This window comes from Homo sapiens, chromosome 19 (genome assembly GCF_000001405.40).
Source record: "Homo sapiens chromosome 19, GRCh38.p14 Primary Assembly".
NCBI lineage: Eukaryota > Metazoa > Chordata > Mammalia > Primates > Hominidae > Homo > Homo sapiens.
Window position 1 is genome coordinate 30,097,288 of NC_000019.10, and position 12,098 is coordinate 30,109,385.

The window sequence follows — 12,098 nt, forward strand, 5'->3', positions numbered from 1 at the left end:
CAAAGATTTGGGCATGGATTCGCTCAGTGACTTCTGGAGGGAAGAGGCAGTCGCCTTCCTTTACTTCCTCCAGATCAGTCTTCGAGCTCCGGCACATGGGGAGATCACGTTGGCTGTTAATGGGGTGTCTCTTTTGTGTTTTCACAGCTGCAGACACTGGGAAACCAGGGCGAGGCTTGCATCCACTGCACTAATGTTGCTTTTGTGGTCACTTGGCTTGATAGTGTTTCTCAGGCTCTGTCTCCTGGGTCAGGCTGGGTCCTTGGCAATCTCTGCCTGTCCCCTTCAGTAGGTTTGAAAAACCAAGCCTGGAGGGATGCGGTGGTGATAGACTCACCTTTTTGGTCTGGGAACAGGAACGAGAGATGCTTTCGTCTGTTTTGAGCAGACCCAACACAACTCCCCATTTCCCCAAAACCGACACAACAATGCAGCATACCAACACTGTTTTTGTTCTTTTCAACACCTCATTTTGACGCAAGAGCTTCTCACACACCTTGGAAGGGGCTTCAGCCCAGATGAGGGGTTTTCATTAGCGTTGGAGAGGTTGGGGGCCTCAGACAAATCCATCCTCCAAGGCAGTGTATTCTGACGCCGCAGCTGGGCTCTGAAATGGCTTAGAATTTTAGGTTTTCAGCTAAATGGTGACCAGGGCGGTCAGTGTGTGGCCAAACTCATTGGAGGAGAAGCGGTCAGTTCTGCCCTCTTGGGGCCTGTGGCTAGGTGGGAGGTGAGATGGTCTCAGGGAAAGGCATGAGAGACCTGCAGTAGCAAAACCTCCCCCCACAAGGGGCAGCCTGCCCTCTGCAGCTGGGTGTGCCAGAGGAGGGGCCAGCACCCTCAGGGAGGGCGGGACTGAACAAGGGACCTCCTTGGGCTGCCCAGATGTTACTCTCCAGGGCCTCAACCTAGTGTCAGGCCTGCAGCGTGGCCTTGCGTCCTTGATCCTTCAGATTACCCATCTGTAGCAAGGAGATGATCATGTCTCCCCTGTCCACTGACTGATGGACCACCTGATATGGGCGTCTTTGTGTTTCCAATTTCTTGTCCATCCTCTGCTCTTGGGTGTCTAAGGTCCTGGGATCTATTGTCTTGTCACCAGTGGCTCATTGACTCCTGTAGCCCAGGATTCCACTTTTGTCCCTGTATTTCACCCCCCCTCATGCTCTGGTCACTGGTGACCTTCACGTCCATGGACCTAATAGGCTTTTCTGCCTTCATCTTAGTTGACCTCTTAGCCACATGCAGCATGAATGTTTCCTATTTGAAATACATGACTTTCTTGGCCTCCACACTCCACGTCCTTTCTTCTGTCTTTCTGCGAAGTCATTCTTGGGTAGCTCTTCCTCCTTATTCTAAATGCTAGAGTTTATCATGTTTATTCCTTGGGCTTCTTTCCTGCCCCTCCTTCTCCCTGCATGATGCTACCTAATCCTACAGCTTTAAAACTCACCTTATCAGTTAGCAATTGCTGCAATATTACTGTGAGATAAACTTCCCTGCCTCTCATTGTCAGACAGCAGTGAGCATGCATCTCTGGTCTGTGCCTCTGTGGGTTGGCTGCAGTAGCTCTGCTCCATGCACCTCCTTCTGGGGCCAGTTACATGGGCTTGATCTTCTCATAGCATGTATTAGTCAGGGTTCTCCAGGGAAACAGAAGCAATAGTACATACACAGTCATGTGCCACATAATGACATTTCGGTTAATGATGCTCTGCTTATACGATAGTGATTCCATAAGATTATAATGGAGCTGGAGAATTCCAATTGCCTAGTGTTGTAGGCATTGTAACATTATGGAGCAACGCGTCACTCCACTGTTACAGTGATGCTGGTATAAACAAGCCCGTCATATTGTACAAAAGTCTAGCACATACAATTACATACAGTACATAGTACTTGATACTGATAATAAATGACTATGTTACTGGTTTACGTGTTAACGTACTTCTAATTGTTATTTTAGAGCCTCATCTCCAGAGTTGAGTCTGACCTCCTACCTCACAACTATCACAGAGTAAACTTGGGACTCAACTCTAGAGGTGGGGCTACTTATATAAAAAAAGTAAGTGTCCTATACAGGTATACCATTATTTACACCTGAGCTGTAAAACAGCCTCAGACAGGTTCTTTAGGAGGGATTCCAGAAGACAGCATTGCTATCAAGGGAGGCAACAGCTCCATGCGTATTACTGCCCCTGAAGATCTTCCAGTGGGATGAGATGTGGAGGTGGAGGACATTGATGATCCTGCCCCTGTGCAGGCCTAGCCTCATGTATGTGTTTGTGTCTCCATTTTTAAAAAAAAGTTTAAAAAGTTAAAAGAAAAAAGCTTATAAAAAAGATATAAAGGAAATATTTTTGTGCAGCTCTATAAGTGTTTGCGTTTTAAGCAGTGTTATTACAAAAGAGTCAAAAAGTTAAAAAAATAAAAAAGTTCATAAAGTAAAAAAGTTCCAGCATGCTAAGGTTAATTTATTACTGAAGAAAGAAAAATATTTTAAAGTAATTTAGTGAAGCCAAAATGTGCAGTGTTTATAAAGTCTACAGTCATGCCCTAGGCCTTCACATTCACTCACCACTCACTCACTGACTCACTTAGAGCAGCTTCCAGTCCTGCAAGCTCCATTCATGATGCGTGCCATTTTTTATCCTGTGTACCATATTTTTACTGTATCATGTGTATGCTTAGATACGGTTTTGATATACAAGTACTTCCCTTTGTGTTACAATTGCCTACAGTATTCAGTACAGTAACATGTTGTGCAGGTTTGTAGCCTTGGAGTAATAGTCTACACCATACAGCCTAGGTGTGTAGTAGGCTGTACCATCTAGGTTTGTGTAAGTTCACTCTGACAGTTGTGAGATAGTAGGTGGGACTCAACTCTGGAGGTGGGGCTTAGACATTGGACCTAATTGAGAACTAGTTAAAACAGGGACGGAGTGGAAGCACCTTTCCATAAGACATGCCCATTCGTGTGCCATATTGGTTTACCATTGCCATGGCAACACCTGGAAGTTACCACCCCTTTTCTAGGGATTTCTGCATACGCTGTCTCTAAATTTGCACGTGATTGAAAGTGGATATAAATCTGACTGCAGACCTGCCCTGGATCTGACTGCAGACCTTAGCAAATGAAGTGGGATAACCCTGCTCTGCAGAAGCAGTCACAGAGCTGCAACACTGCCTCTTCAATAAAGCTGTTTTCTTCTACTGTATCACTGACTTGGCCTTGAATTCTTTCCTGGGCAAAGCCAAGAATCCTCCTGAGGCCCAAATTTGGAGCTCGCCTGCCCTGTGTCAGTTGCACAGTGGCAAAATTGCCTGATGATGCATTTCTTAGGCTGTATCCCCATTGTTAAGTGCACATGACTGTATAGAGACACAGAAAGAAATTCATTATGAGGGATCAGCTCACATGATTTTGGAGGCTGAGAGGTCCTATGATCTGCTCTCTGTGCTGGAGGCCCAAAAGCCAGTGGTGTGGTCCCAGTCCAAGCCTGTAGGACTGAGAACCAGAGAAGCCCCCAGTCTGAGTCTGAAAACCTTGAGAACCAGGAATGTTCGTGTCCAAGCACAGGAAAATATGGTGTCCCAGCTCAAAGAGAGGGAGAGCAAATTTGCATCAGATGAGGACCATCCACATTGGAGATGGTGGTCATCTTCACTCGGTCTGCTGATTCAAACGCTCAACTCTCCAAGAAGCATCCACAGACACACCCAGAAAGAAGGTTCCACCAGCTACGTGGACATCCCTTAGCTCAGGCAAGGTGACACATAAAATTAACCATCACAAAGAAAATGCTGGAGCTCAAGAGAACAAGATGATCCAAGCTTCTGCTTCTGCTGTGTCTGCTACTGCCTCACTGGTCTGCTTTGGGTTGACCCCAGAGTCAGGGGAGAGGAAGTTTGCTTGGCCCACTGAGAGCTGGGACAAGGATGTGGATGGATGGTTCCATTACAGGAGAGTGAGGGGCTGAGATAAATAATTTGGTCTCCCCAGCACATCTGTGCCAGCAACTCCCAAATATGTTTCTAGGCCAGGCTGTGACCTTCAGACTCACTCCACACCTCCCTTGACTTCTACACTTGACTCTCCTGAAGGCTACAGGGGATGATTACTCAGTGCATCTGGTCTTCCCTTGAAGACTCAGTTTCCCTGTTTGTCATGTGAGCAGGTTGATTAGATGAGCTACTAGTTCTGAGAGCAAGTGTGGGACTTAGGGTCCTGCATCGCCTGCGTCACTCTAGACTTTCTTTTGGCTTTATGCCCCCTTGGGATTTACCTGATGGTTGAGAACATGAACATTTAGCCAATGACCCATATGGGGAGATGGAAGAAGCTTCTGTTGACCCCTCCCAGGTCTGTGAGCCTGGCTCTCCACAAGTTCTCTGGTTCCTTGTGCAGAAGGTTAGCTGGGCCATGCTGAGTGAGTGGATGAGGTTGGTGTCCTAGTTCACTTGTGTTGCTATAAAGGAATACCTGAGACTGGGTAATTTATAAAGAAAAGAGGTTGATTTGGCTCATGGTTCTGCAGGCCATACAAGCATGGTGCCAGCATCTGCTTGGCTTCTGGTGAGACCTCAGGGAGCTTTTACTCATAGCAGAAGGCAAAGGGGGAGCTGGCATGTCACATGACGAGAGATGGAGCAAGAGAGAGAAGGCGGAGAGGGGCCATACTCTTTTAAACAATCAGATTGCGGATGAACACAGAGTGAGAACTCACTCATTACCCCAGGGTGGACAGCACCAAGCTATTCATGAAGGATCTCCCCGCATGACCCAAAAGCCTCCCACCAGGCCCCACCTCCAACATTGGGATCAAATTTCAACATGAGATTTGGAGGGGACAAACACCCAAACAGTATCAGATGACTTTGCCATTCAGGCTGTTCATGGAATGAGGGACCCTCACGATGGCCACGAATCTGTCTCCTAGCTCAGGCTCTGAGTTCAGAGAGACAGGACTGAACTTGGAGGCTCTAAGCTCAGAAAGTAGGATCTGTGGGGCCACACTTTGGGCAATGTCTGGCCCTGCAGTTCCACCGCTACCAAGGTGATCAATTCTTCTGCAGTCATTCTTGTAGAGGCAGGTGTGGCCTGGGGACATCGCGTCCCAGGCAGGCCGCCCTCTGTCCTGAAACAGGCTTCCCGGAGCCCTGCGCACCCCAAACAAAAGCTGCCTCTGACTCCTCAGCCTTTGTGCACATCTGCATTATTAGCAATGCTAATACCATTCTGCAATGATAAATAATTAAACAATTATGGTCATGAATCAATAAGTTTAGCACATTTTTTCATCAGCAAATTGCACTGTATAAACAAGAAATATAAATTACCAAGTCTAATTTCCCCCTAAAATTATAAGCATTTTATATCTAATAATTAAAAAAGTGTTAGAATTCAATTTTGGATAGTTAGAACTTTAAAGAATTTTCAGTTTCCACCAAACACCATTAAATTGTCATGTTTTATGTCTCTGAATCTGATTAACATTTTGAGATCTGGCCTCAGAAATCTTTCTTTGTTAGCTCCCAGAGACGCTCCACCCAGGCTCCAGCTTCTCACCATCCTCACAGACGGCGAATCCACTGGGCTCCGGCTTCCAAGGGTCTGGATCTGCGGGTTCCACTGGAGAGCGAGGATTTATAGGAATTTTTGATTGAAAGCACAGGTGACAAACCCAAGGCTTGTGGGCTCTGCACACCCTCCACAGTCTTTTGTGTGGCCTGTTGGCAGTTTGATTTTTACGTTTTTGGGGGATGTTGTTTGCTTTGTCTTTAAGTTTAGATGTCCGGGTTTTGTTGAGGAAAAAGAAACCCACACCAGATTTACAGTCCCCTAGATCCCCCATCTCATTCTGTGCAGCAGCTGCCCCGTCTCAATGGAGCATGTATGGTCCAGGTGGCTGCAGTCTCCACCACTCCCCACAGTGTCTTGCTGTGGCTGAGGCCACCAACAATTGTCTCAGAAGGCCACATGCTCTTTTTCTGACCTTGGCCCCGGTCTCTTTTGCAATCCCCGATTTAGTGGTTAGAATTTGATGACCCCCCGACCCCCCACTCAGTGGCTCACACCTGTAATCCCGGCACTTTGGGAAGCCAAGGCTGGTGGATCACCTGAGGTCAGGAGTTTGAGACCAGCCAGGCCAACATGGTGAAACCTCGTCTCTACTAAAAATACAAAAATTAGCCGGGCGTGGTGGCACACGTCTGTAATTCTAGCTACTCAGGAGTCTGAGGTGGGAGAATCACTTAAACCCAGGAGGCAGAGGTTGCAGTGAGCCCAGATTGCACCACTGCAGTCCAGCCTGGGAGAAAGAGCAAGACTTCGTCTCAAAAAAAGAAAAAAAAAAAAAAAGAAATTGATGCTCTAAGCATGTAAGATAAAGTTCACAAAGGCCCAGAATCCCAGCATGTTTTACAGGGGGGAACACTGAGTATAAGATGGGTAGTGGTTAGAGAGTCAAGGTCACCCCCAGGCCAGCTCCCTTCCAAATGCTGCCAACTGCTTGTTGCTGCCGTCCCACCCACCTCCAGCCCGAGTAGCCTCTCACCTTCCCTGGTGTTCCTGCTGCCTCTGGAGAACCAGACCTCTCCGCTCCAGCCCCTCTCCTTCCCTCCCTTCTCCCAGGCTCCCAGAGCAGTGTCCCAGCCTCCAAAATGCTCTCTTTCTTGGCTTGACCTGTCCGCTACCAAAAGATGAAACTCAACCAAGAGAACATCAAGGAACGCCAGCTTCCTACCTCCACTCTTCATGGCTAGCTGCATCGGTCCCAATCACGTGGTGGGGGCAAGTAATAGGATATTCCATCCATTAGTGGCTCATCCACGGCTCCTGCAATGCCTTCCACCCTCGTGAAGGGCGCCACCAGGTACCCAGGGGGCCAGCCGGGTGCTAGGGGTCATTCTGGCAGTTCCCTCCCTTTCCCTCACCTGACAACCCCCCACTCACCTGGCCCCCCTGCCTCCCCTTCCTCAGTCCTGTAGATTCCAGCTCTCTCCCACCCTGTATCCCCTCCACACACCCTCTCCACAGCCCCAGCTGCACTGCTTTTTCCAGCCTCTTAACTTCTTTGAAAAAACATTTTCAGCACAGCTGAAGAAGGGAGGTTCTAAATTGAGAATCTGATGAGGTACCCCTGGCCCCAGTTTAAAATAGTCAATGATCCCGCTTCCTCAGGACCAAGTCCATTCTCCTTACTGCTTTACAGTGTAGGTGTGCTGGAGGCAGTGCTGAGAAGTCCACACAAGGTAGTTCATGAATAGGGAGAATGAGCCTCAGGATAAGGCATCCGTGTGTCGGAAGTGAAGGCTGGAGGCCATGCAGGGTGGTGGCCTTTTTGCTGGGCTCTCTCGGCCTTTGTTCTGGTGAATCCCTCTCACCTTCTGTTTCTCCCAGGTCCACCTCATCCTTCCTGACCAAGTTCTTCACCTCTCCTGAGGAGCCTTCCCTCCCTACCCCAGGGCCTGTAAGTGATTCCCTCCATCCCCTCTGTGTCCATGCAGCTCTGTGTGGTGGGGATGGACCCTGGTGACATCCTGGTCCCCACAGAGCTCTGTGTGGTGGGGACATATCCTGGTGACACCAGGACCCGTCCCCACAGAGCTCTACATGGTGGGGACGGGTCCTCATGACACCCCTGTGTCCATGGAGCTCTGTGTGGTGGGGATGGGCCCTGGTGACATCGTGGTCCCCACAGAAGCTCTGTGTGGTGGGGATGGGCCCTGCGGACACCCCTGTATCCATGGAGCTCTGTGTGGTGGGGACGGGTCCTGGTGACACTCCTGTGTCCATGGAGCTCTGTGTGGTGGGGACGGGTCCTGGTGACACTCCTGTGTCCATGGAGCTCTGTGTGTTGGGGACGGGACCTAGTGACACTCCTGTGTCCATGGAACTCTGTGTGGTGGGGACAGGTCCTGGTGACACCGCTGTGTTCATTGAGCTCTGTATGGTGGGGACGGGTCCTGGTGACACCCCTGTGTTCATGGAGCTCTGTATGGTGGGGATGGGTCCTCGTGACACTCCTGCGTCCATGGAGCTCTGTGTTGTGGCCATGGCCATGGGTTCTGGTCACTCTGTGGTACTGGGAGACTCAGCAGCCACTGTGCCTTTTGGACTCTGGATCTCCAGTCCTGTGGGACAGCAAGCCCAATGCCCAGGTGAACAGACCCCAGGCCCCGGAAGCAGTACACTCACCCACGGAAGCATGTGGAGTGCAGACGGGGGCAGAACTCTCACTCCCACCATGCCCGGTGGACTGGGATGCACAGACATGGTCCCTGGTAGGCCCCAGCCCTCCCTCCCCTCAGGGCTGACCTGTCCGCCATGTGCCTGGCCACACCTTTCTTGAACCTGGGGATATTTTCAGCTCTGCCACTGCCCTGGGTGATGCACAGTTCCTCGTTTTTCCAGGTCCTCCTCGAAACTCTGACTCTGGAGTAAGGTTTGGTGGACAGAGCTCTGTTGCCTCCTCAGGCCCATTGTGAGTTAGGATCTGTTTTCTTGCCTGCCATCTTCCAGAGTTGGGCTGGGCACACAATGCGGGCTCAGAAGGGATCCTGTGCTTGAAACATGAAGGGCATCACGCAGGATGACTGAGACTGAAACTAACGAGGTGACTGACAAGTACACAGATGTGTTAATATTTCACCATGGCCAGAGTCCAGCCAGAGGGCCGGTGCTGAGATGCACTGTTCCTGGGGCCCTTCCAGGGCCGGTCTGGGTCTCTGTGGAATGTGCGGGCTCAGGAATCATTGTTCCTGGGGCTGTTGTCACAGTGTGTCAATGATATTCATTGAAGAACATCTCTTTGAATGAGCTAAGAATGCTTAAAGAGAACAGTAGCCGGCCGGGCGTGGTGGCTCACGTCTGTAATCCCAACACTTTGGGAGGCTGAGGTGGGCAGATCACATGAGGTTGAGAGTTTGAGACCAGCCTGACCAACGTGAAGAAACCCCGCCTCTACTAAAAATACAACATTAGCTGGGTGTGGTGTGGTGCTTGCCTGTAATCCCAGCTACTCGGGAGGCTGAGGCAGGAGAATCACTTGAACCCAGGACACGGAGGTTGTAGTGAGCCAAGGTTGCGCCACTACACTCCAGTCTGGGCAACAAGAGCGAAACTCTGTCTCAAAAAAAAAAAAAAAAAAAAAAAAGAGGACAGTAGCCATCGGTTAAAGACATGCACCTCTTGGTTGAAACAGACTGATCAGTCCCAGAAAATCCCTGCTAAGCAGTCAGCTGCCGAAAGCACCTGCCTGGGGCCTGGACCCTCGCCAAATGTCAACATGATGTTGGGGACCAACAGGAACACTGGAAGCACAGTGTTGAGGAGACTGGACATGGAGATTGCCTCAAGCTGGGTTTCTCTTGGAATGCAGAGCCTGAGGTCAGGCCTGAGGGCGTATAGCTTACTGGGGACATCATCCCAGTTGATGGGGGCCGAGGGAGGTGGGCAGAATTGTCTAAGGAGTCATATAAAATGCAGCTCTCAAGTGTCCATCTGGAGAAACAAAGTGGGGACTCATTTACCCATTGGTGCCGTCCCCCTAGGTCGAGGTGACCCCCGAGGGCATGGATTCCTCTCCATACTCAGGTTGCCCACATGTGCTCTGCAAGAGATCTGGGCATGGGCTGGGTGAGTGGGTGAGAGGGTCTCTCACTGCCCCTGGCCCACGAGGGGTATCCACTGCAGGGGGATGCGGGGTGATAGTCCATGGAGGGTGAGAAGCAGTGCTGCTTCTGCCTGCTCAGGGGCTCAGGTGATTTTGGAGGAGACGAGACATTCCAGGCAGAGAGGTCATGCCCACACGTCGTGGCTGTGTCAGCGTCTCTGAGATCAGCCCCATTCCAAGGTCCCAGGTGGACGCGGACACCTGGGAGCTGGGGCAGCCTTTGAAGATGTGCAGCGTGGAGGGCGCAGCCAGGGGCTGAGTGGCCTCCGCTCAGTGTCGCCCCTGCAGCAGGGCTGGCCTTTTCACCTTGCTGCCGTCCCTGCCTCCATTTGCCTCCATTCGTGGGTGGAAGTTATCAGGGCCATGGGTGCCAACGCCAGGATGCTGGGGCTTCCAGATTTTGTTTCACTCGGTGGCTCTTAGCAACATGTTTCTTGCATTCTGCTCATTCTGTTTCACATTTCACACTTCCCCAGGCTGAGCGAGCCATCCATCTAGTGCAAACGCTTCTGACAGGGCTGGGGTGGAGGACGCCCTGCTGGCCCCAGCAAGGGGAAGGAAGGGGGCTTGCTGGGTGGGTGTGGGTGGCGCATGCTGGTCAGGACAGCCTGGGGTCGATGTCCCTGCACCCCCGCCCCCCGCCTCCTTCCCTGTCTTGCAGAGCCCTCTTGGAGCTGGCGATTGCTCTGAACAGACCTTCCTCCTCTTTTCATTCCAGTCTCTCTGATCACCTGGGGAGATACAGACCTTGCACCTTCTCCCTCACAGCCCAGACACCACCGGAATCACCTCACACACCACCTGAATCACCAAACATCTCCAAACAGCCCTCAGACTTTTACTCTGCAGGGGCAATTTTTTTAAAAAAAATTTCTCTTCAACCTTCTCAAAGCCTCTAGTCAGCCACTTAGAGAAGAACTCTCCAAATTTCCTATCTCTCCCTCTATATTTATATTGATTTACATTTAAAATTATTTTTGCACAGGGTTTTCCTTGATTTTCTTTCTTTGGCAATTACAGATTAATCTGAACCCCTAGATTTTTGAGTATGTATCTATGTCTCTATTTATCTATCTATATTTTATTTTAAATCTGTAATAATATTCAGAATTAGCTCACAAAACTGGATTACACAAAGCCAGCAGGTTTAAAAATATTTCAAAGATGTTGCTTTTATGCTTCAAATCCTTGAAAAGCCAAATACATTCACTTCTGAAACTAAGTCTTGGGTTTTGCTGAAAAAAAAAATAAGAAAAGTGTTTAATAGCACATATGGCATAATTTTATTTGACATCTGTTTTGTAACAAACAATATTTAGCTCACTTATTTGCTGAATGATACAGTACACAGTGCAAACAAAAAGTCCAATGAACAGTTTTTCCAGAGTTTGTAATATATCAATATTTATTGCAAAAGAATGCAAAACTTAAACATTTAAGTGTGTTATTGATTGTAATATGCAAAACATTGATTACTGTATGTTGCCACTGCAAAAAAAAAAGTGTACTAAATGCCTTCTGGGGTATGAAAATGAGGTGCATTTCAGCAAGAGGAGCTCACTTGCTCCCTTTGGTGACATTTAGTCTTAGGCCTGCCCCCCTTCCCCCGTTTGTGTCATCCTATTGAAGACAGCTGTCAATATATTTAGGATGCTTTAGCTCATAGCAGCAAAAATGGTGAGACTATTGGCTTAATTGTGAGGAGTGATTGATTTTAATGGAAACAACATTTAAAAACTCAGAATGCACTTTCTGTTGGCAGTGCTAATAGAATCCTCTAATGAATTGAAGCTTCACACATAAATGCATGGTACTTACTGCAACAATTAGCAAAGGACAACAATGGTTGATGCATTAAATTTTTTTAACTCAAAAGTTGAAATAAATTATTTGTTTACATAATGGGACCACGGGAACCAAGGCAGAAGCAGAACTGGCTATCACCTGATACACAAAGCACACACCAACAAAACTGTGGTCAAGTGAAGCCACGAGCAGGACCCTGGTGTTGTTTTCTGTCCTTGCCATTATTATCGGAAAAATAATATCAGAAACAATATTTAAACAGATCCTCCTTCAGGTTGTTGGGCAGAGGGAAATGGCGAGGACTCCCTGTCCTGTTGAGGTTCTGTGTGGTGGGCGCATTTTTCCTTGGGTTGACATCAGTACAATGACAAATGCAGCCAGGAGGGGTGAGCTCAACTGGAGGGTCCTGAGGGATTGCCTGGAGCACACTCAGAAGCCCCCAAAACAAGGCTTGGAAACTGCCCCCCAACCCCAGAACAGGAAAGTTACAGATTTAATTAGATTTTTCAAAAGAATCATAATCATGAAAGTAAAATAAACAGCAGACATTTACTAAGCATCTCATGTTCCAAACCCCACGTAAGAGATTTCATGCCTCTCCTCAGGCATCCCTGA

General features: G+C 48.9%; 1 annotated feature.

Annotated features, from left to right (window-relative positions):
* Positions 1,430 to 1,673: a silencer, noted in NCBI's record as "fragment chr19:30589624-30589867 (GRCh37/hg19 assembly coordinates)". NCBI's record gives its function as "represses an EF-1alpha promoter that drives an FKBP-Casp9 reporter gene in an ReSE screen in phorbol 12-myristate 13-acetate-treated (for megakaryocytic differentiation) K562 erythroleukemia cells {active_cell/tissue: K562(+PMA)}" and the evidence as "EXISTENCE:reporter gene assay evidence [ECO:0000049][PMID:32094911]".